Here is a 22,176-nt window from a genome sequence, read left to right on the forward strand (position 1 = left end):
GGTGTCACTTTTTTCATTGCAAATCTAAGAACTAAGTCAATGTCCAAGCAATCATTTTTATGAAATTTCCATCAAGTTATATTTATTCATCTTATTCTTCAAATTCAAACTGTAATTAAAGCAAAACTTGCTAATATTCGTATGTGTATTAAGGCAAATTGGACAACAGTGTTTCTTATTCTGTAACTGCTTTGGTCATTATTTGAAAAATGACTTTCCATGTTTCTCTTACAGGGCCCAAAAGGCGATCCTGGCCCAGTGGTATGAATGTTCCCATGTTTTGTGTCATTTAGAATATTGGTCTTTGTTAAATTTTGAAAGAAAAGCATCGGGCAAAATGGCCTGCCTTCTTAGGTGTTCATCAATTAACATGCTGGTGGTGACAAGCAGGCCACAATATAAATGCCAGCAATATGTTCTCTGTTTCTGAGATGCATTAGTCCTGATGTTGTCACTGCCCTTGAGGTTTGTCTCTTTCCGTCAGTGTGTTTTTAAAATCATCCTGTGATGGAGGAAGACACATATAAACTCTGATAAATGGGGCACTTTCTTCTAATAGCCCTCTTCTGATAATTGATTCAATTTTAAGTAGATTGTGGAAGAGAAATACTTACTGGAAAGAAATCCCTTAATATATCTGCCATCTCCCCAACAAAAAAAAAGGAACTGTTTATTTGCTTTAAACGTCTTAGGCAATTATTTTGCAGGAGATATGTTTTGTCATAAGGCTGCTTATTAGGAGGAATGTATCAGGAGGTTATGCTCAGCATGGAAGGAGATCATGTCCTCCAGCCGCCTAAAGGACGATAATTGTTCTCAGCATCTTTCTGAACCATGGAGCCTCTGTAAAAGTTCTGCCAAATTCAATTAGATGCCCTTTATTGCTGGGCATTTTCTCCTGTCATGTCTTTTTCAAGCATATCCTTCATGTTTCATTTGTATATATTTTAACCTTTGGGTATATACTTGAAACTCAAATGTACCTAAAGCTGAAATAAATTTTCAAAACACTTTCCATTGCCATGTGAAAAAAAATTTAAAGCCTTTTCATTATAGTACAGTTTGTTAAAACTCAATGAATAAATTTTAAACCAGCAAAGGGACAAGTCATAACAAGTAATGTTTTTATGTCTAAAAACATATTTTAAAGAGATGCATTAAAGAGCTGTTTGATTTTGTTATTGGGCAATATATATTAAAAGCCAAATTGTTATCCCCTGAAAGCATTGTTTCAACTAGTTAGGATCATATTCTGTAATTCAGTTTCCTTTGTTTTACTATTCATTCACCCTGTCTACCCTATCTTTACCTGAAACCAACTATACGCTTCATTCTAATTTTAATTTTCTTACATCTTGTTGATAAAAATTTCCTCCTGGTCTTTCCCTCTCATACTCATACACACAAAACAGCTTCTCTGAATCATTTAAAAGCACCTAGGCTTCTCACTGACTTTTTGGGAACATTCTTTGAAGTTCTTGCATTAATAACTGCAGATTAAGATAAGAACTTTTTAAGTATTATAATAAAGGATAAATTATAATTTACTGGCATTGAAAAGGGGCTGGCAACAAAAATGTAGACCTATTTGAGTAGAATTTGAAGAGATTAGTCTTCAAATTTCTTAGCTACAACAAAGGATGAAGAATAAAAACTGATTGAAGTGTGTTCCTTGCTTTTAGAGATGTGAATTGAGTGAGTGAAGCACAGAAACAGAAAAATGCAATCATGAAATGAAATACACATTTAGTGTACACATTCAGCCTCATCCTGGATGAAACTTTGAAGTTACTCTTTTGGGTTCTCTGTCAGCACCACCCTGCAACTCTCATCATCTCCCACCAGCTGTCCTGTAGGGAAAAATAATAGTTCCTGCCATAGAAATAATCCAGGAATGATAGAATTGTAGATCACAGAGCAAAAACTTGAGAAGTCTTTTTGAGGTTGGAAATTTACTCTTCCAACATTCTTCAAATCCCATGACAATAGACCTGCCTCACTATTTCTAATCTTCTCCATAAACCTTTCTAGAGGAATATTACCCTTAATTGAATTTATTATCTTCTGAGGCGCTCCATTTCATTCCTTTGGTATTCAGTTTATAAATGATGTTTAATTAAATATTTAATTATTGCTACTTTCAACAAATGTTGATTGATTGAGCACCTCTGTCTTAAGGACTGTTGAGAATGTAAACAAGGAGAATCAAAGAGTGTGTTTCCTTTGTCAGCAACCTAGGGCCTCTTATACAGAACTTTATGCAGAACAGAATCTGAACTTTTTTTTTTGATCAGTTGTCAAGTTACATATTAGGGGACATTTTAAAAGATTTCTGAAACATAGAAAGCATATCAGTTCATATGCTCACTCACTAAGTATTCTGTAATAAGGGCAATGTTATAAATAATAATGAAGTTATATCCCTGGTAATATTTTTGAAGCAGATTGGAATTATGTATGCAAAAACACACTTACAGAGAACACAATTTGAAAGCTCTTGTTTCTTTGTGATTATGTCTAAAGCATCCGGTGTCCTAAGAAAATATTTGCAGTGAACATTAATTTATTAACAAGAAGGCATCAAACAACTCCCCACTTTATCTCTTTTTTAACTTAAAGCCCTAATGCAAGCTTGTCCAACCCATGGCCCATGGGCTGCATGCAGCTCAGGAAAGCTTTGAATATGGCCAACACAAATTTGTAAACTTTCTTAAAACATTAGGAGATCTTTTTGTGTGTGATTATTTTAGCTCATCAGCTATCGTTAGTGTTAGTGTATTTTATTGGAAGACAATTCTTTTTCTTCCAATGTGGCCCAGGGAAGCCAAAATATTGAACACCCCTTCCCTAATGCTTTTTTTGTTCAGAGTTAGCAACTTCCTTCACCACAGCTTTTCCCAAAGTGTTTCTTGAGGATCTACAGGCTCCAGCTAGCCTGGGACCATACACTAGAAAATGTAAAGATTTTTAAAAATAGAAAACACTAATCTACCCCCTTCCAGTGACTCATCAACTTGAGCAATAACTTTTAGTGTTATTGGAGATAATGATCCTGGGGTCAACTTCTTAAGCATTCACAATTCTTGTCCAGCTGCAGAGAATACTTAAAGATGATAAACACTGCTTTGAGTGCTCCATCTTCATCTACTCTTAAACAGTTTATTCTTATTCTCTGAAAATCTAGCAGCACCAGGTAGCTCACAAATTGGCAAACTTTATTAAAGCCCCATCTTTCATTCTAGTTCTTATTGAAATTGGAGTTATCACTGAGTAGAGGGATTCATTCTGATTAGATTCTCAATCAGAATGAAAATGATTAATCAGAAAATATACCTCTCTGGAGAATAGCTTTTATTCTCAAACTATTTTCAAACATCAAATGCAATAATACATTACTTAAAAATAGGGCATATCATTTCCTTGCTAAATTACACATCAATGTTTGGGGTGGGAAGGTTAAGCAAAAAAATCTTTGCTTTGGAAACCAATGCTTAAAAACATTTTGATTATTGCTCCTGCATTTCTTATGTTCATATTTAACAGGGAGAGCCTGGTGCAATGGGGTTGCCAGGATTAGAAGGATTTCCAGGTGTAAAGGTAAGCACAGAAGTTAGAAATGTGTTCATTTATTCAACATTCAAAATTGTTTACTGAGCACCTAATGTGCCAAAAACTGTTTTAGGTTAGGGATATATAAAGGAACAAAACAGACAAAAATGTATGTACTCATGGGACTTACATTCTAGCAAAAGGATATAGAAACTAAAAGAATAAACATTTTAAAATTACATCTTATTGTTGGGGCTATGGAAAGAAAGAAAAAGTAGAATGGGTTAAGGAGGATCAGGAATGCTGACGGGGTAGGAGGGCAGTATCTGAGCAAAGACCTGAAGGAGGTGAGAGGGAGAGCCAAGTCCCCTCCAGTCTGGAGGAATAATGTTCCAGGAAGAGGAAACAGCAGGTCTAAAGAGTCTGAGACATAAGATTTCCTGATGTATCCAAAGAGACCAGGGGAGGGAGTGAGGAGATAGTCGTAGGAGATGAGGTCAGAGAGGTGGGGGTGGAGGTGGGAAGTGGCCTTGTCATATAGAGCAGTACTACTCAATGTATAGCCAGTGGAGAACCAGTGCCAGTCTGCAGACCCTTTGTTATGGGTTCAGTGGCAAGGTTATTACAGAGACTGAGAGTAAGCACCTAAAAACATGTCCAGTAATTTGTCTAAAATTGTCTAGCAAGCATGTGATGGTAGAATTATCTTTGTTCATGATATGTTAGAAAATAAATAAAAGATTGCTCTTTTACCACAGGAAGTTTGAGAAACACTAATAAAAAGGCTTAACAGCTATTGTAAGGCCTTTATCTTTCAATCTTTGTAAAATGCAGAGCCATCGGTGATTTCTGAGTAGTGGCATGAGGGAACTTGCAGCCAGAGAGTTGCAAGGGTGGAAGTAGGGAAGCCAGTTAGAAGATATCCAGTAATCCAGGTGCCAGGTGATGCTGGCTCAGATCAGAGCAGAAACAGTGGAGATAGTGAGAATGCCTGGATTTGGATATATTTTGAAGGTAGCACTGATAGGATTTTCAGATTGATTGCATTATTAGAGAATAAAGAGGAGTCAAACACGAACTTCAGTTTTATGACCTGAGCAGTTTGCAAAATAGGGCGGACATCATCTGAAATGAGGACAGCTATGAGCAAGGCCTATTTTGAAGGGGTGGAATTATCAGGAGTTTAATTTTGTACGTGAGACCAAATTTGGAGATATCTGTTAGACAGCAAAGTGAAGGTATTGAGTAGGCAGTCTGATATAAAAGTAAGGAATGTGGAAAAGAAGTCTAAGTGGAGATATAAATTTGGCTGTTCTAAGCATAGAGATGCTGTTGTAAAGCGGAAGACTGGATAAGATTACCAAGGGAATGCCAATAGAGTTTTTAGAAACAGAAGAGTCAAGGATTGAGCCCCAAGGCCCTCCAGTATTAGGAGATCAAGAAAAGGAGCAAAGAGCAAGGAAGACTAAGAAGTAACCAGCGAGGTAGGAGGAAAACTTGGTATCCTACAATCCAAGAGAGAATAATGAATCAAAGGGAAAGGAGTGATCTCCTGTCTCAAATACTGCAAATAGGTCAAGTACAATGGAGATGGGGCCAGGTAGAATGGTCAAGTATTGAACATTGGATTTAGCAATGTAGAGGTCATGGATGACCTTGACCAGAGAAATTATTATTTCACTATATGGTAGGAACAACCGTGGACTTGAATGGGTTTAAGAGAGAACGAGGAAAAAAAATAGAGTCAGCAAGTCAGTATAAATAATGCTGACAGAGTTTTGCTGCAAACGGTAGCGAATAAATAGGCCAGAGGCTGCTAGAGGAAGTAGGGTCGAGGTTTTATAAGATAGATTTTGAAGATAATAAAAATATCAGACTGCTTATATGCTAAAGGAATGACTCAGTAGAGAGGGGGAAGATGGGGATGATGATGCTGGAGAGAAAGGAGAGAGTGCTGGGCCAATGTCTTTAAGTAGCCTAGAGGGAAGGGGACCTAGTGCATATGTGGAGGGTTTGGCTTCAGAGAGGATAGTTTATCTACAGTAAAAGGGGAGAAAGCAGAGTATGGGGACAGAGGCTGATAGGTGGGAAGATGTATTGGATGGAGTCTACAAAAGTTGTTTTCTGATTGCTTAAATTTTCTCAGATAAAGAGGAAGCAAGGCCATTAATCTGAGAGCAAGGTAGGGTAAGAGGTTGGGGAGAAGGTCCATAGTTCAGGGACCACAGAAGTGTGATGACTGCTCAGCCCTAGGGACCCTCTTGAGGTTCATGGTCATGAACTGAAGTGAGACCTCTCAACAAGACTATGTGTGCTGGCAAGGCACAGTGGCTCACGCCTGTAATCCCAGCACTTTGGGAGGCCAAGGCGGGCAGATCACCTGAGGTCAGGAGTTCAAGACCAGCCTGGCCAACGTGGTGACACCCCATCTCCACCAAAAATTAGCCAAGCGTGGTGGCAGGCACCTGTAATCCTAGCTACTCAGGAGGCTGAGGCAGAAGAATCACTTGAACCCAGGAGGCAGAGGTTGCAGTGAGCCGAGATCGTGCCATTGTACTCCAGCCTGGGTGATAGAGCCAGACTCCGTCTCAAAAAAAAAAAACAAAAAAAACAGGACTACATGTGCTTTTCCAGCCATGTTCAGACATTCAGGTAAAGACACAGAATAGGAGGGGAGTTGGATTTCAACAATGTTCTGCTTTTGACGGTGAGTACTGGACGGAAGAATGGGAAAAGACCCTTACTGGCTTACTGGTATACACAAGGGAATGATTCTAACAAGTAACCATGGAATTTTAACTAGGCAAGAGAGAGGGAGAGGCCATTGAGGGAGTGAAAGATAACAAATTTGTACCATCAATGGATTAGGGTTTAGGGGTTCAAGGTACTCAAAGAGTGAATTAGAATGATGTGGAATGGTGGTCCAAAGTTGGAACGCATGAAATTGAGATTATGGATGGGCAGCAAATATTTTTACTGACAAAGTGTCAGGTGTAACTATGAAAATAAGAGGTAAGTTCATTCGAGAATAGTGGTTAAGGAATGAGAGGCATGAGACATGCAAATATTTCATTGAATGAAAAGTTCTAGTATATTAATTTTAAAAATGAAAATTTTGTAATTCAAAAGGAACAGAGGGAAATTGATGTGTATTGCCTGTTTATGTCCTTTACCCATTTTTCTATCAGTTATTTTTTTCTTTTTGATGATGGCTATGCTCCATACGTTAAAGACATTACTTCTATCTCATGTGTTGGAGTTTTCATCCTAGTTGATCTTTGCCTTTCATTTTTACGTTTAATCTTATTGTAAATATAACCTTAATGTAGTCAAATCTAACACTATATTTCTTTATGATTTCTTGTTTTGGTTTTATGCACAAAATGACTTCTACTTTTATTTTCAACCAAAATCAGAATGTCACTAATATATTCTTTGAGCTCTTTTATAATGTATATTATTTTATTTTTATATAAATCTATGTGGAATTCATATGGGATATAATGTAAAGAGAAGAAGCAAACTTTTTTCAATGAAATTATCCAATTATTAGAACTGTTTGTTAAATAAAATCCTATTATAAATGCCGGTCTGTTTCTGATATTTCTGTTATAGTATTTTGATATGCTGCTTAATCTTATGCCAATATTCCATTATAGCTTTATTTATTATATGTTTAAATGTTGGTATTACTAGTATCTCTTTATTATTATTCTTTTAATTTTTTTATCCTCTCAGTTATTATCCCAAGTAAACTTTAGTATCATTTGATCACACTGCAATTTTGTAAGAATTGCATTAAATTTATAAATTAGTTTAGTTAGCAATGACACCTTTACAACATTGTCTTGCTCTCCAAGAACAGAGCATATCTCGTCATTCATTAAATCAAGCCTTTTATGTCCCTGAGTAAAGTTTTTTAAATTCAGTTTCTGCCCCCAAAAATTGCCATTTTATTATCCCATATATATAGTCGTTAGTATTTTTAGCATTGTCAGCTTTATCTAAAATATCACATTGGCTCTTAAAAAGGAGTTGAGTCACTCTGTTGTTCAGAGCAATTCAAGGGATCTTCTAATTGGCCAAATGAGAACTACAAATCATTAGTTGTAGATCATTTTATTCTAACTCTATATCCAATGAGACAAGGATAGGAAAAGCTTTTTGGAAGACACTCAAAGTGCTTAATCTTTTAAGCAAGAGTAATGATCTTTTGAACATGTAGAATAAAAATATTGACTAATTTAACTATAAGTATGTAAGGGGACATTAAAATAGGTCACAGAAATGATTATGCTTGCTTTCATTAAAACTATTATTTACTTTAGTTTTATGGAAAATAAAAAAGCTGTAACGAGTTCAGTTGTCAATTAGCTACTCAGTTTGCTATTTTTCCATCTACACACTAGCTTCACCCCATCTAATATCAATAACACTTATCAGATCCAAAGGAAAGCTTTACCAAATCCAAATTATTATTTGAGAATTAATTTCATAACTAAAGACTTCATTGATGTCATTAAAGTAGCAATGTTTTTAAATCCCAACAGGGAGATCGAGGCCCAGCAGGTCCCCCAGGAATAGCAGGGATGTCGGTGAGTTCAGATTACTTCACATCATTTTCACAGGTAAACGGTTCTATCTCCATGATACACCTGTGGCCAGGGATCAAGACAGGCAGGAGAGCATACCATAACTCCCATGGCATTAGGTTCCTGACAATTCTAGTTTCATAAATAATGCCACCTGTATTTTCCACCTCCACAATCCTCTATTTCTTTTGTTTTGTTTTGTTTTTTGTCCTCTTTTATTTTCTTCCCAAGTCACTTTCATGGAGGGGAGAGGAAACACAGTTACTATACATTAATTTATGAGCACAGCTTTGGAAAGTTTATTGTGTTTCTCTATTCTTGTCATATTTCAAGGTTTCTCAGTCTTCAAAAGACAGAGTTCTTATCCTCAGGCATGTACTTCAAGTTCCTTGTATTAATGCAATCTGCCTGAGTTATTCCTTAGCCCAGTGTTATTAGCAGAGCTTTATTGCTGCTAATGTTTCCTCATAAACTAGCCCTTCAATCCTCTCAATCATTTTTGTTGCTCTCTGGTGTCAAATGTTTTAATCTCATCAAGGCCTTTTCAAATGAATAGGAAGTGTTCCAGGAAAGGTTGAAATTATTTCTCTGAGCCCTAGAGATCATTCTGATCTTCATTCATGATGCTCTAATTAAAATTTTGTGGTCACGCTTTATGAATAAGAGGCCATTTATCCTCTTGCTAGGTGCTCCTGCAGGGCAGGTCCAGGATAACATTACAGGAAAGTCAATGGAAACCATGGGCTTGTATCACAAGAATATAAGAAAGATAAGATAAGATAAAGGCCCTACAATCACCACCCACAGTCACCCACCGAGATCTACTGACACCCAACACCACCCAAAGCCCTGCTCATCTCCCACTGCCATCCCACAAAGTGCTCAGAGCCACTCTACTTCACTCCATTAACTTCTAACAACACAAAATAGAGCCCCATCCATCATCTGCATCCTTCGTAGATGATGACATTCCCTTACTTAGCCATTATAGATCAAGTCAAATATTCGTATGACTGTAAAAGTAGCATGAAAATATCTTCTTTGGAAAGCTCTTCCAAATTTTTTATAAAAGGAAGTATTCTTGAAAGTTGACTACACACTTAATTCTATTCCCTCACTACTGCCCCACTCACAGCCATTCCCAGCAACATATTTGGAAATCAGTTTCTGGAAGTGTCCTTAGAGAACCTTTACAACCTGTTCCTCTTATACTCACATCCTGTGATTTGAATTTTTGTTTCCTTGTGATAAAATAAAGTCTAGTTTTTTTCATTGTGTTCACCCAGGTGTGTCTACAAATTACATTTTGCTATTACCCTAAATTAAGCTTATCTTCTAGGAAAAAATACTGGCCACCATTGCAAGTATTTAAAAGATGTGCAACAGTGGCCACAGGCAATCCAAATGAGAAATTCCAAATATGTTTTTCAAAGAGGAAGCATTATTGAGATAAGGGGCTAGCCTGCCACTTAGTTGGATGTCTAAGATCTGATATATTTACTAAAAAAGCAGTTTTCATATGTCATAATTAAAAACATTAACTGGCTAGGCATAGTGGACTCACACATGTAATCCCAGCACTCTGGGAGGCCAAGATGGGCAGAACACTTGAGCCCAGGAGTTAGAGACCAACCTGGGAAACATGGCAAAACTCTTGTCTCTGCAAAAAGTGCAAAAATTAGCTGGGCACCTTTAGTCCCAACTGCTTGGAGGCTGAGGTGGGAGGATCACTTGAGCATGGGAGGCAAAGGTTGCAGTGAGCTGAGATCGTGTCACTGCACTCCAAACTGGGCAACAGAGCAAGACCCTGTCTCAAAAAATAAAATAAAATAAAAGCACTGACTGACAATTACATAAATAAGAAAGGGTAAAAAATTTACATACTACAAACATGTTCAGTTAAAGATGCATGTTAGATTTTTATAACTGGCCCTTCTGCGGCTCAGAAGATAAAATAGTTAAAAGAATCTAGAAATAGACAATGGTGATGGCTAGATGACAGTGTGAATGCACTTAGTGCCACTTAAGTGTGCACTTAAAAATGGTTTAGAGGGTAAACTTTAGGTTATGTATATTTTACCATGATAAAAATTTTTTTTCGAAAAATGGTGATTGTTCTAGTTGAAGCAGGGCTGGGGCCTGCCCACACAGAGACACTGGTAACTCAGCTGATTACCAAGGGGACCCAATCCTGCTCTTCCTAGAACGGACCGGTCTATCCCTTTCCTGTATATTCAGGGCTAACCAGGGATTTCCCCTAGAGCTTCTTTCTTTGCCTTACTCTGAGGAAAGCGTGTGGGTTTACAGGAAGAAGTGCCTGTGAGTGCTGGTCGTGGGGTGGGGCCTCCGGTCAGCATGCTCTCCCCCGGATGCTCTGAGTTCTCCACTGGTCCTACCTGACCTTAGGAATGACTTCCATCAATGTCCCTTATCTCTTTGTCTCAGATCTCAAGGCCCGAGCCCTCTATACCCGCCATGTCCCACAATAAGACCCTTCAGGTCATTGGCCTTCTCAGCTCTAACACATCTTCCCACTCAGGCCCCTAACAACTTCAGCACAGGCAAGCTGTGGGGACCCAGGGATGCTCTCTCTAACTTCTGCCTGCCTAGCTTTGCCATTCAGCACCGTATCTCTACCTATGGAGGGATCTCCTTCCGGAATTCTAAGCAGCAAGTTGAAAAAAGCCCATTTCTTTTCATATTTCTCCAAAACCTACTTGGCTTTTTCAGGTCTCAGCCCCACCACACCTACATCCCACGTCGTCTATCTTTCCCAGCCACATTAGACCAAGGGACAGGAGGTGGTTCCTTCTCAGAGGCAACCAAGCCTTGCCTGCACACTCAGGCCTTGTGTGCTTCCAGTCTCCACTGGACCGTCTGCCCCTCTCGTCCCTCGCTGTGGTCTGTCTGCTCCAGGATCGGTCATCCAAGCCATGGTGTAGTGACACAAACTTATCTGTTTCTTTTCCTGTCAACAAAACATGGCTTTTCAAATCAAACATGATTTTTTCAGGTTGTCATACTATGAACTTAAAAGCCCTCTTGTGAATCTCAAAGCCTAGAAAAAAACTTATTTGATGCTTTGTGCCCATTTCTCCACTCCCAAAGTAAAGAAGAGCTGCCAGGAAAATAAGCACAAGAGGGATGTCCAATAATGATGATACTTTGGGCTAATATTTTCAAAAATATTCTCCTCTCCTACTCTCCACCATCCACACAAATATATATTCGAAGAACTGCACCCCAGTCTGAAACTTATGGCCTGCGGAGTTGACTATATGTTCCCCAGTCTCTGTCCCCTTAGAAATGCCACTTTATTTATTTATTTATTTATTTATTGAGATGGAGTCTCACTCCGTCACCCAGGCTGGAGTGAAATGTCATGATCTCAGCTCACTGCAACCTCCGCCTCCTGGGTTCAAGTGATTCTCCTGCCTCGGGCTCCCGAGTAGCTGGGATTACAGGCACGTCCCACCATGCCTGGGTAATTTTTGTATTATTTTTAGTAGAGACAGGGTTTCGCCACGTTGGCCAGGCTAGTCTTGAACTCCTGACCTCAAGTGATCCATCCACCTCAGCGTCCCAAAGTGCTGGGATTCCAGACATGAGCCACCACACCTGGCCAGAAATGCCACTGGAGAGCATCACCCTTGGGAGCACTATAAACTCAATTGGGGTTGGGGGAAGAGAAGCATATGGTGTCGTTCAGCAATTTGGCTCCTAACATTTCTCTTCAATTTGCCTTGCCAGGGAAAACCTGGTGCCCCAGGGCCTCCAGGAGTTCCAGGGGAACCGGTGAGTTGGCAGTTACTTTCATGACAGTTGTACTTGTGTTGTACTTGCATGCAGTTTTAAAACATTTGTTGGCAATTAATTTGTGTCTGTGGATGTGTTTATAGGGTGAGAGAGGACCTGTTGGAGATATAGGTTTCCCTGGACCAGAAGGACCCTCAGGAAAGCCAGTAAGTACTTCTTACTACTTAAAATATGCCACCTAGAGAAATGCTCTAACATTATCTCCTCATCTACCACCTCAGAAATTCTGAGATTTGAATAAGCAGTTTCCAAGGAGTAAGAAGAATGCACAGATGGATTTTTGATGGCAAGGGCAGGAGTTCTTATTGAGTTCCCTAGATCTGTGTGTGGTATCTTTATGTCTTAAACAGTGTTGAAAATGGTGAGAGTTTTAAGTGTCAGGAAATCTGACTCATCATTTCTTAAGCCTAATGTTCTCAACAGACTTAAAGAAAATATAATGGCCTGTCATGTCCTAAAGTATAAAGAAACCAAAGACTTATAGATATAATACCTGTATGTTAAACCAAATCCTAAAGTAGAAGTTATTTTCTCAAATTTCCTCCTTTGTATACAGGCCTTGTTTTCTTACACTTTCATAAATCACTACTGGTGAATGTCTCATCCCCTTGTGTCCTAAAAGAGCTCTTGGTTACTGATCTGTGGTATTGATGTGACATTGTAACAATCATTCTGACTAATCCAGTTCCACATAAATTCATCTAGTCACTGCTGTTTGCTAAGAATGTGCTGGGCCCTTAGGGAGGGGATCTAAGATGAATAAGACAGATCTCACTCTCAGAGTTATCCTTTACAGAAGGTCACTGCTGATTTGTTTGCTGTGGTGTGTATGGGAAAGAAGTCGAGGTGAACAAACAGTGCAAAATTCAGGAAGCCAGTTTGGCACCTCTGTGAAACCTTCAGGGTTGGTGGCCACCATTTCCTCAGAGAAGACATGAAAAAAATGTAATTTAGAGTCAGGAAGATCTGGGTCTGAATTATGGTTGAAAGGATTTTATGAGTCACTTAAGTGCCATGACATATGGAAAGCATTTCCAGTGCCTGGCTATGGGAGGTACTCAATAATATTAGTTTCATTCCCTGCCTCCTCTTACCTCCTCATTCCCATCCCCTGCAAGGCATATCATTAAAGCCTGCCACTGAGTTCCCAGGAGATTATGCAAAAAGCAATTTGTTCATCACCAAATATTTCTTGAGCACCTCCTACATGCTAGGCACTGTTCTAGGTGGTAACAACTCATAGCTTTTGCATTCTAATATAGGAAAACAGATAAAAACAACACACACACACACACACACACACAGAGTTTCAAGTAGAAGAAGGTATAAGTAGAGTAAAGCTCTGGAATATTATTCAAATAGTGGGCTCAGAGAAAATTTGCCTGCAATTTGAGCAGAAACCTGCATAAAGTGAGAAGTCAAGCCATGGGAAGGTCAGAGGACCATTGTTTCAGGAAAAAGAAATGGCTAGGAGAGAAGTGAGCCCGATGGGGTCCAGGACCTCATCAAAAGGCATGAAGTCAAGAATGAACGAAGTGAAGGAAGAGTTGGAAAGATACGGAGGGAGATGTAGGCAGTGGCCAGACCATGAAGAACTTCCAAGCCAGGGAATGAAGTTTGGATTTCATTTGAAATATGATGGAAATCCACTGGAGCTTTTGTAGCAAATAATGAAAATGATTGAACATTTTGAGGATCACTCTGATATTGTGTGGAGAGTAGGCTGTAGGGAGTGGGGTAGAGGAAGACAGAACAGTAAGAAAACATCACCATCATCTCCACGAGAAGTAATGACAGTGGAAACAGCCATGAGTAGAGGAACTTAGGATGTACATTGAAGAGAGAGCCAGCAAGCAACAAAACTTGCTGATGGACTAATCTAGAGAAGTGTGAGGGAAAGAGACCAATCACAGCTGTGGTGTAGGGTCTGAGCAACTATGTGAGAGTGCTGCTGTTTGGTGAAATGGGGCAGACTGAAGGTAGGTGGATTTGGGAGGGAGAGCCAAGAGTTCTGTTTGACATGTTCATGATGGAGCACTAGCAGGTATTCAGGTGGAGATGTCAAGTACACAGTGGAGACTTAGGAGAGGCCAAGATTGGTGAGACCAATTAGGGTATCTAAACCTGAGCCTGGAAAAGTGGAGTCACTGTGGATAGGAAGGGAAGAGAGTGCTTCAACTGTTAGGAAGACAACCCAACAAAGAAGGCTGTGAAACTGCAGCCAGAGAGACAGGAAGAAAATCGGGCAAGTGAGGTTTCCTTGATGTCAAGTGAACTGTTTTAAGAGAAAGGAGAAAGCAGTAAGGAGTGATCAACATACAGGTAAGTAATATGAGGGGTAATAATTCTCTACTGCATCAGAAACGTAGAGGTCATTGGTGGGAGAGATCACCACATGTTAGTATCTTGGTAAGAATGATCCAGTTGAGAGAGGAAAATTTGATGACACAGGAGAGTGAAGACTACTTTGAGTAGAACTGGTATACTCACAAGTGGGAATTGGTCTTAACTAGGAACAGGGGCAGTTCACCCTTCCTAACTGTGGAGTGTGGGGGTGCCAAAGTTGGGGTGCAAATCCATGAAGATTGACGCAACTGGTGGAGGGATGGTGAGAGGGGTCTCTTTTGTTTGTTAGTGAAAGAAGAATGGAGGTTGTCCAAGTGTGAGGAGTGGGGAGGTGATGCTGAAGTTTGGAAGAGACAGGAAAATGTGTGAAAGAGTACTTTTGGAGAGATAGAAAGGGAGTCAAATTGGGAAATACAGAGGGATGGCCTGGTAATGCTGAGGGTGCTGCTTGCCATCTGCTGTTGAACATTTGGGTTGGAACAAGCGAGCAAAGATACGTGGTTTTCTTCAGCCAATCAGCTGCTCAGATGCAGATGTGAGGTAGGCAGAATGTACCCAGGAAAGGGGCTCTGCCAGGTGAATGAGATGAGGGTAGAGAGGAGCAAATACATATGAGTTATTGTAAAAATCTCTGAAAGCAGGGCTGCCCTGTGGATAGAAAGTAACACCTTCCTATACAAAAGAGAACACTGATGATAGTCTTTGATAAATTACTGGAGATAAAAAACAGGTTATAGGGTTACGTATTTTCTTATATTGTTACCAAAAACATGAACTACACTTTTACTCTAGATTTATCTTCTCTTATTCAAGTGACACAGCTGTTTCTTTCACATCCTCTCCTAATCAGCTTTATCCTTGTTCCTTGTGTGTCTGAATGTAATAAATTCTTTGAACCATACACTTCAGGTAACATGTTCTTATTTAACGTACTCTCAATAATTCCCAGGATGTTTCAGAAAGGTTGGCGAACTATGGTTGGGTTGTCAACTGTGACAGATTTCAGCATAATTTATAGCAGTGAAAACACGCAGTTCTTTGCAGTTCCATCCCACAGAATCCATTCCAGCACAATAAAAGTCCCTTGGGCTTTTAGAGGAGCAAGTCCATGCAATTGCCTGCTGGCTAAGAAATCATATTCCTCACCTTGATCTTCCTCTTCAAATCAGATCTCTAAAACACACTTGCTGTTGGGCCCTGGGTATTTGATTTGACCTCGAATACTTTTCCTTCTTATATCTCCCAGCCAATAGTTCTCTCAGTCTTATAAATCTTTAAGCAGGACTAGGCTTCGTTATCACTTCTAGAACTCCCTTTTAAAGTTCAAGAAACTTCCAGTTTTCTAATAAAAAGTGACTAATACTGTCAAAAACCATGATTATACATTTCTTGCTTTTCTTTCATATTTCCAACTGAAAAATAACAATTGTTCTCTGACTGACACTTTATTTCATAGTAGGATCATGCTCTGGCCATGTTATGAAATTTCCCCAGCAGCAACTGAGACCATTTACTGAGAATGATACTCTGTGCTGGAAAACCTGTTAGAAGGTAACAAAAATGCCATACTCCAGCCACCTATGCCATGAGGCACCTTCTTATTTCTCAGGATGACCTAATAGAAGAATAAGAAAGGAAAATAATCTTTGTTGACTATTTATAGAGGACCATGCATTTTTCATGTTATTTCACTTAATTCTTAGTTTTGAGGTTATTTATTTTCCTCACTAGTGAAGAGATTGATGCTATTGAGGTTAAGTAAATTGCCCAAAAAGGTTAATGGGACTAGTAAGTGACAGTGTCAGAATCCGAACTCAGGACTGTCAGATTCTATTTATTTGTTTTCCATTTTACCACCTTTCTTTACCAAGCTCTCAGTAGAAATATGATTAAGGAACTGTCCTCGAAACCTTATGCTTTTGTTGTGTTTAACTATGTTAATGCAGAGTTAGAAATATTAATCCTTTTTTTCTTTATAGGGAATAAATGGAAAAGATGGAATACCAGGTGCTCAGGTATGGGAAATATGATTTAAAATAAAAGTTATAATGCATACTGCATCCAGAATACCTACCAACATTTACATCAATCAGACTGATGAAAAATCTTGGCAAGGAGTGATTTTCATGTTGACATCTGTTTTTCAGGGCATCATGGGTAAGCCTGGAGACAGAGGCCCCAAAGGAGAACGTGTATGTATATTACTATTGTGATTGTTATTCAAGTCTGTCTGTTACAACTGTCCCATCATTTGAGTTACACAATTATGTGTGTAGACCCCTGCAAATCACCAAATCTATAAAGGCTAGGGTGTAGGCGATCAAAGATCTCTACCAGACATTAAATATGACAACGGACTCAGAGCAAGTTATATGGTACATCTATGTAGTTGGCCTTTGTACACAGCCAAGTATACTTTGCTGTTTAAATTTGGGAAGCTTTTATTATCCTCCTGTCTTAGACATATATCTCTACTATAACCATCACCCATGTTCTTTTTATCTAGAGTAAGGTTTCTCAACCTCAGCACTGTGATTATTCAGGGGCAGATAATTGTTGTGGTTGGCTGTTTGGGAATTGTAAAATGCTTAGCAGCATCTCTGGCCTTCATCCACTAGATGCAGTAGCGCCACCATCCCTCCAATTGTGACAACCAAAAGTGTCTCCAGACATCACCAAATGTCTCCTGGGAAGCAAAATCACTGCAATTGAGAACTACTGACATGCAGAAAAACTAAGTAGAGTAAAGAAGGTGGTGTGAGGGGTTAGAGAAATGGAAAGTGTAACTGAAAGTATAGTGAAGTTACTAGTAATGCCAATTATGTTATATGGTTTTGTGTTGTTTGGAGCGTTAATGTCATTATTGCAATTTCTCTTTATTTCCTTTAATGAACCTCAACATTTTCTAGTAGAATTGATTTCTACTAGAATTAACTTCTACTAGAATTAATTTCCACTAGAATTAATAGAATTAATTTCTAGTAGAGTCATGCCACTGCAAGAAGTTACTCAAACATTGTTACTCAGTGTAATTCTATTAAGGGTTGCTATTGTATGTGAGTGTGGGCACATATGTTTGTATACTGGTGTCTAGTTCGCTAACTTTTATTTATCATTATACAAGTAATCTATAATAACTGAAGGAAATGTGAAAATACAGATGATGTAAATTTAAAAGGAAATAAATCTACCTTACCCCACTACACAGAGATAAGCACTGTGATATTTGTACGTATTTCCATCTCTCTCACTCTAATACATAATATACACATATATTTATATGTATTAATATAAACATATACTTTTCCAAAAAGGAGCTTATGCTGTCTTGTAAGTGTCTTTTTTCACCTAACGATATATATTGATCTTTTCTTGTCTGTAAATATAGATCTATATCTACCTTTTAATTGCTATATGTTATTCTACTATTTGACCATACCTTATTTCACTTACCTAGTCCGCTGGACATTTGGATTCCTTCTAGTTGTCATAATAATAAACATCACTACAATGAACATCTTTGTACCTAACTTATAAAATAATTTTAATATGTTAAAGATTGCATTTATCTTGCACATGATCAGAGTATTAATCATTGATCAAAGTGTGCTAATATTTTTTCTTGTCATCTCAGAAATTTCTCCAAATGTGAGCTGGAGTGACAGACCTGTATGCAGATATATTTTTATAACTAAGACAGTAGCATTGATACCAGGCCTAAGTGCTTTTATTTCTTTCTACATGGCTTATTTCCATATCTGATTCTATGATCACACAAATCTCTGTAACTGTTCATTTATTTCTGTTAATTTTTAAGTCAAGAGAAATTGAGTTTGCCCTTCTGCAGAGTAGTCATAGTTAAAAGAATAATATAATGAGATACAGGACCACTTCAAGCATCATTCCGTCATATTTGGTGTGAGGATCACTTCCTGGAGTTATGCAACTGAATATTTGAAAATTTATGACTGAAGCAACTGCCATGATCTCTCTCTCTCTCTCTCTCTCATTCTCTCTTGCACAAACACATACAGTAGTAGACACATTCCAGGATAAAAAACAGCATCAAGCAAACTTCATATCACATTTAGGCACATCTAATATAATATTTTACTAATTAATTATGACATCTTATTCAACTGATTCTTGTTTTTTTGTTTTGTTTTGTTTTGAGACAGAGTTTCTCTCTTGTTGCCCAGGCTAGAGTGCAATGGTGTGATCTCAACTCACCGCAACCTCCGCCTCCCGGGTTCAAGCGATTCTCCTGCCTCAGCCTCCTGAGTAGCTGGGATTACAGGCATGTGCCACCACGCCTGGCTAATTTTTTTGTATTTTTAGTAGAGACAGGGTTTCTCCATGTTGGTCAGGCTGGTCTCGAACTCCTGACCTCAGGTGATCTGCCCACCTCGGCCTCCCAAAGTGCTGTGATTACAGGCGTGAGCCACCGCGCCTGGCCCAACTGATTCTTCCATAGTTCATTTATACTATTGAGTAAATGATGTCAGTGACATCCTCCCCCCAGTCACCTGCTTTGATCTTTTCAATGGTTCTCCCTTCTCACCATCCCGTGGGTATATATTTAGGGCACAGTGATCACACTCAACGTGCACACACACATGCATACACGTGTAAAGCACAAATACAGAAAACAAACCTGAAGAGTCTAATAAAGCACAAACAAACAGGGGAAAGCCAGGGGTGGGGAGAGCACATGATTTAGGAGAGATTTTGAATGTCCTAAAGTTTTTTTAAGTGAAAAGTCTCAGTAATGAGATCCAGGGGAAAGCCAGGGGTGGGGAGAGCACATGATTTAGGAGAGATTTTGAATGTCCTAAAGTTTTTTTAAGTGAAAAGTCTCAGTAATGAGATCCAGGGGAAAGCCAGGGGTGGGGAGAGCACATGATTTAGGAGAGATTTTGAATGTCCTAAAGTTTTTTTAAGTGAAAAGTCTCAGTAATGAGATCCTCTTGGCAATCTTCCTTTATCATTGCAAAGGAGACCCAGACCTCAAGTGACAGCTGGTATTGACTCAAAACTGCCATCATCCTAGATGGGCAACCAAGCACACCTAACATTCTCTCTATCTTTTATGTATTAAGTACTGCCAAGGTGCCAGGCATTGCTCTGAGCACTTTACTTGGGTTAATTCATTTAGTTCTGAAAATCGCCCTATCTAATGGATACTATTAATATGCCCACTTTGTAGGAGAGGAGGCTAGGACACAGAGAGTTTAAGTTATTTATACAAGGCCCAACAGCTAATAAGTGCCAGTATGAATCCAGAACTTTTGCTCTCAACTACAGCTGATGCTAGAAGAGATTATTCTTTGTTATTATTTTTTCCTTAACAGGGTGATCAGGGGATTCCAGGAGACAGAGGCTCACAAGGTGAACGGGGAAAACCAGGCCTTACAGGCATGAAGGGGGCCATCGGTCCTATGGGTCCACCAGGAAACAAGGGCTCCATGGGATCCCCTGGCCACCAAGGCCCTCCAGGCTCTCCAGGCATCCCTGGCATTCCGGTAAGTAGTGCTAAGACGCTTTAGGGCTCCTGGCTTGTACCGACCATGTATCCCTTTTACAATGAAAGCAATGATACTGCCTTTCAAATAAATAAAACAAACCTAAACTGGTCCCCGTGAGGGCAATAATAGCTGTCATTTAAAGTTATGTGCCAGATCCTCTACTAAGCACTTACTATACATTACCTCATTTGATCTTCACAATCATTCTGGAAGGATTGGTGTCCTTTTCAGCCCAGTTTTATAAACGCATAAAATGAGCATTAACTTGCCCAAGGTCACAGATTTATTAAGTGGGTCAGACCCAGGTCTGGATGGCTTCAAACCCACGCTTTTAACATACAGGTACTGTCTCTAATGTCTCCTTACACTACACAGAAACCACATATGCCTGTTTCATATTGCTATGAAACATGTCCATTTCATACTCTATTTTGTTGAATATCAGAACAACAAATCTGCCATGAGTAGTGCCTTGAAGTAGAAACCACTTAGGCCAAGAGTGTTTAGTAAAGGAAGCCCATATCTTTATTAATCCTCAAGAGGAGTGGTGAGTGGCTATTCTGCAGAGAAATTTAATCTGAAAATATCCATGTTAGGAAGAAAGGAGGGTCTTGAAGTGAAGTAGGGCAGTTAAAGACACATTCTCCTCAGATAATCAACCAATACCAGATATAAAGCAAAACTGAGCATTCATGCAATTTTCATACTTCTATATTTCTGCCCACTGTCCTGAAACTCTACTTGAATAAAGCCTGTGTAACTTCACTCTTGGGGTTGTGTCAGTAATTGGTATTAGTTGCATTAATTAAAGTTCATTAATGAAATAGAGCATTCTTGGAATTATTCTGTCCTACCGGAATCATCACTTTATAAGCCCATCATATTGGATTTTTTTTATTTTTATTTTTTGTCATTCTAAGTCAGTTTGTTGTTACAAATGAACTAGCACCATTATGTTAGGAAACCCCACAACAATACTATTATCACATATCTACACACAGACAGGATAGAGGAATTTTCAGTGAAGAGCGATGAGGAACCTACCCAAGAATGTTTATAATAAATTAAGGCTCACTATCTAAGTAGGCTCTGCTTCATTCTTAAATTCACATTGCATGGTGATTTTCCGTAGAGCTTCCAACTCTCTCATCTGACCATCTTCTGTTATGGTCTTTGTTCATGTTTATATCTCAGAGTGGGGCTTATTGCCTTTGTCACAACCGCCAATCTTCATCATATTGTCTTTAATGCCACACATATACCCCTGGATAATAATCACCAACTATAAAGAGTAGTAAAATACTTTGAAATTCTAACCATCAAGAAAAAAATAATAGCTCCTTTAAAAATATCAAGGCACTATAATAAAACATTACTGTTATAAATGTTAAATTCTTTGTCAAATGCATGTGGATTTACTTGTCAACAGGTGGAAAATTCAGCTGACATTATTTGCCTGCTTCCTTTTACCAGATCCCAATTAAGAAAAGAAAATTACTTAATACCTATATACTTGCAATGTGTAAATTACAGAATAAACTTTATGATGAAATGGGTAAAACTTGCTTTTATCCCATGAATACAACATTTTTTAAAATAATCCAGCATACTTGGAGTTCTGTTCCAGGTTGTCTTCCTTTGAAAATACATTATATCAATTAGATATTGACTTTGCCATCCAGGGATTGGTTAAAAGTTAAATTGTGATTAGGCTACTAACATCATGTTTATACTTTTTAGATTATTTAACCTTATAAAATGAAGTCATAGGAATGTCTTCCCTAACTGTATAAAGCCATGTGTCTCCATTTAATGGGAAACCTGTTGATACCACTGGTTATGATCCCAGCCCATAGCTTTTAAAGCAATTACACACTTCAACTTCTTCCCAGAATTTGGTCAAAGCAACAGATATTTATTGCCCAATATAATCAATTGCCAAAAGCATTTTTCTTGATAAATGCATCCCTACAGAAGTTTCAAATAGGCAAGCCAACCCAATATTTCTATTCTTTATTCATTTGTGCTATGCTCTATTTTAACAACCTTTTTTTTTCCTTCTTCAGGCTGATGCAGTTTCATTTGAAGAAATAAAGAAGTATATTAATCAAGAGGTCCTAAGGATTTTTGAAGGTTAGATTTTCTTAATAACATTTTCGAATTTTTCACTGATTCCCACCTCCCACCTACTATGGGGAATCCCTCCAGCAACATTCTCGAAAGATGGCCATGCCACAAAAACCTTAAGGGGCAGCCCATTTTATGATGGGACAGCTCTTTGATGAAAATTCTTCTTTATACAAAGTTAACTTTTGCCTCCCTGGAACTTCCTTTCATTATACCTGGTC

General features: G+C 38.6%; 1 protein-coding gene across 8 annotated transcripts in view; it reads left to right on the top strand.

Moving 5' to 3' along the window:
- Nucleotides 1–22,176, top strand: part of COL19A1 (collagen type XIX alpha 1 chain) — a 345,913-nt gene that overhangs the window by 301,865 nt on the left and 21,872 nt on the right. For 7 of the 8 annotated variants that reach the window (NM_001858.6, XM_047418188.1, XM_011535437.3 and 4 more), the window contains 9 exons: nucleotides 235–261; nucleotides 3,544–3,597; nucleotides 8,100–8,144; nucleotides 11,892–11,936; nucleotides 12,041–12,103; nucleotides 16,283–16,318; nucleotides 16,451–16,495; nucleotides 19,655–19,825; nucleotides 21,895–21,961. In NM_001858.6, the coding sequence (NP_001849.2) occupies nucleotides 235–261; nucleotides 3,544–3,597; nucleotides 8,100–8,144; nucleotides 11,892–11,936; nucleotides 12,041–12,103; nucleotides 16,283–16,318; nucleotides 16,451–16,495; nucleotides 19,655–19,825; nucleotides 21,895–21,961 (553 nt within the window). Of the gene's footprint in view, nucleotides 1–234; nucleotides 262–3,543; nucleotides 3,598–8,099; nucleotides 8,145–11,891; nucleotides 11,937–12,040; nucleotides 12,104–16,282; nucleotides 16,319–16,450; nucleotides 16,496–16,921; nucleotides 17,509–19,654; nucleotides 19,826–21,894; nucleotides 21,962–22,176 lie in introns of those variants that run through there. The other variant, XM_017010259.2, reaches the window with a different exon arrangement.

This window comes from Homo sapiens, chromosome 6 (genome assembly GCF_000001405.40).
Source record: "Homo sapiens chromosome 6, GRCh38.p14 Primary Assembly".
NCBI lineage: Eukaryota > Metazoa > Chordata > Mammalia > Primates > Hominidae > Homo > Homo sapiens.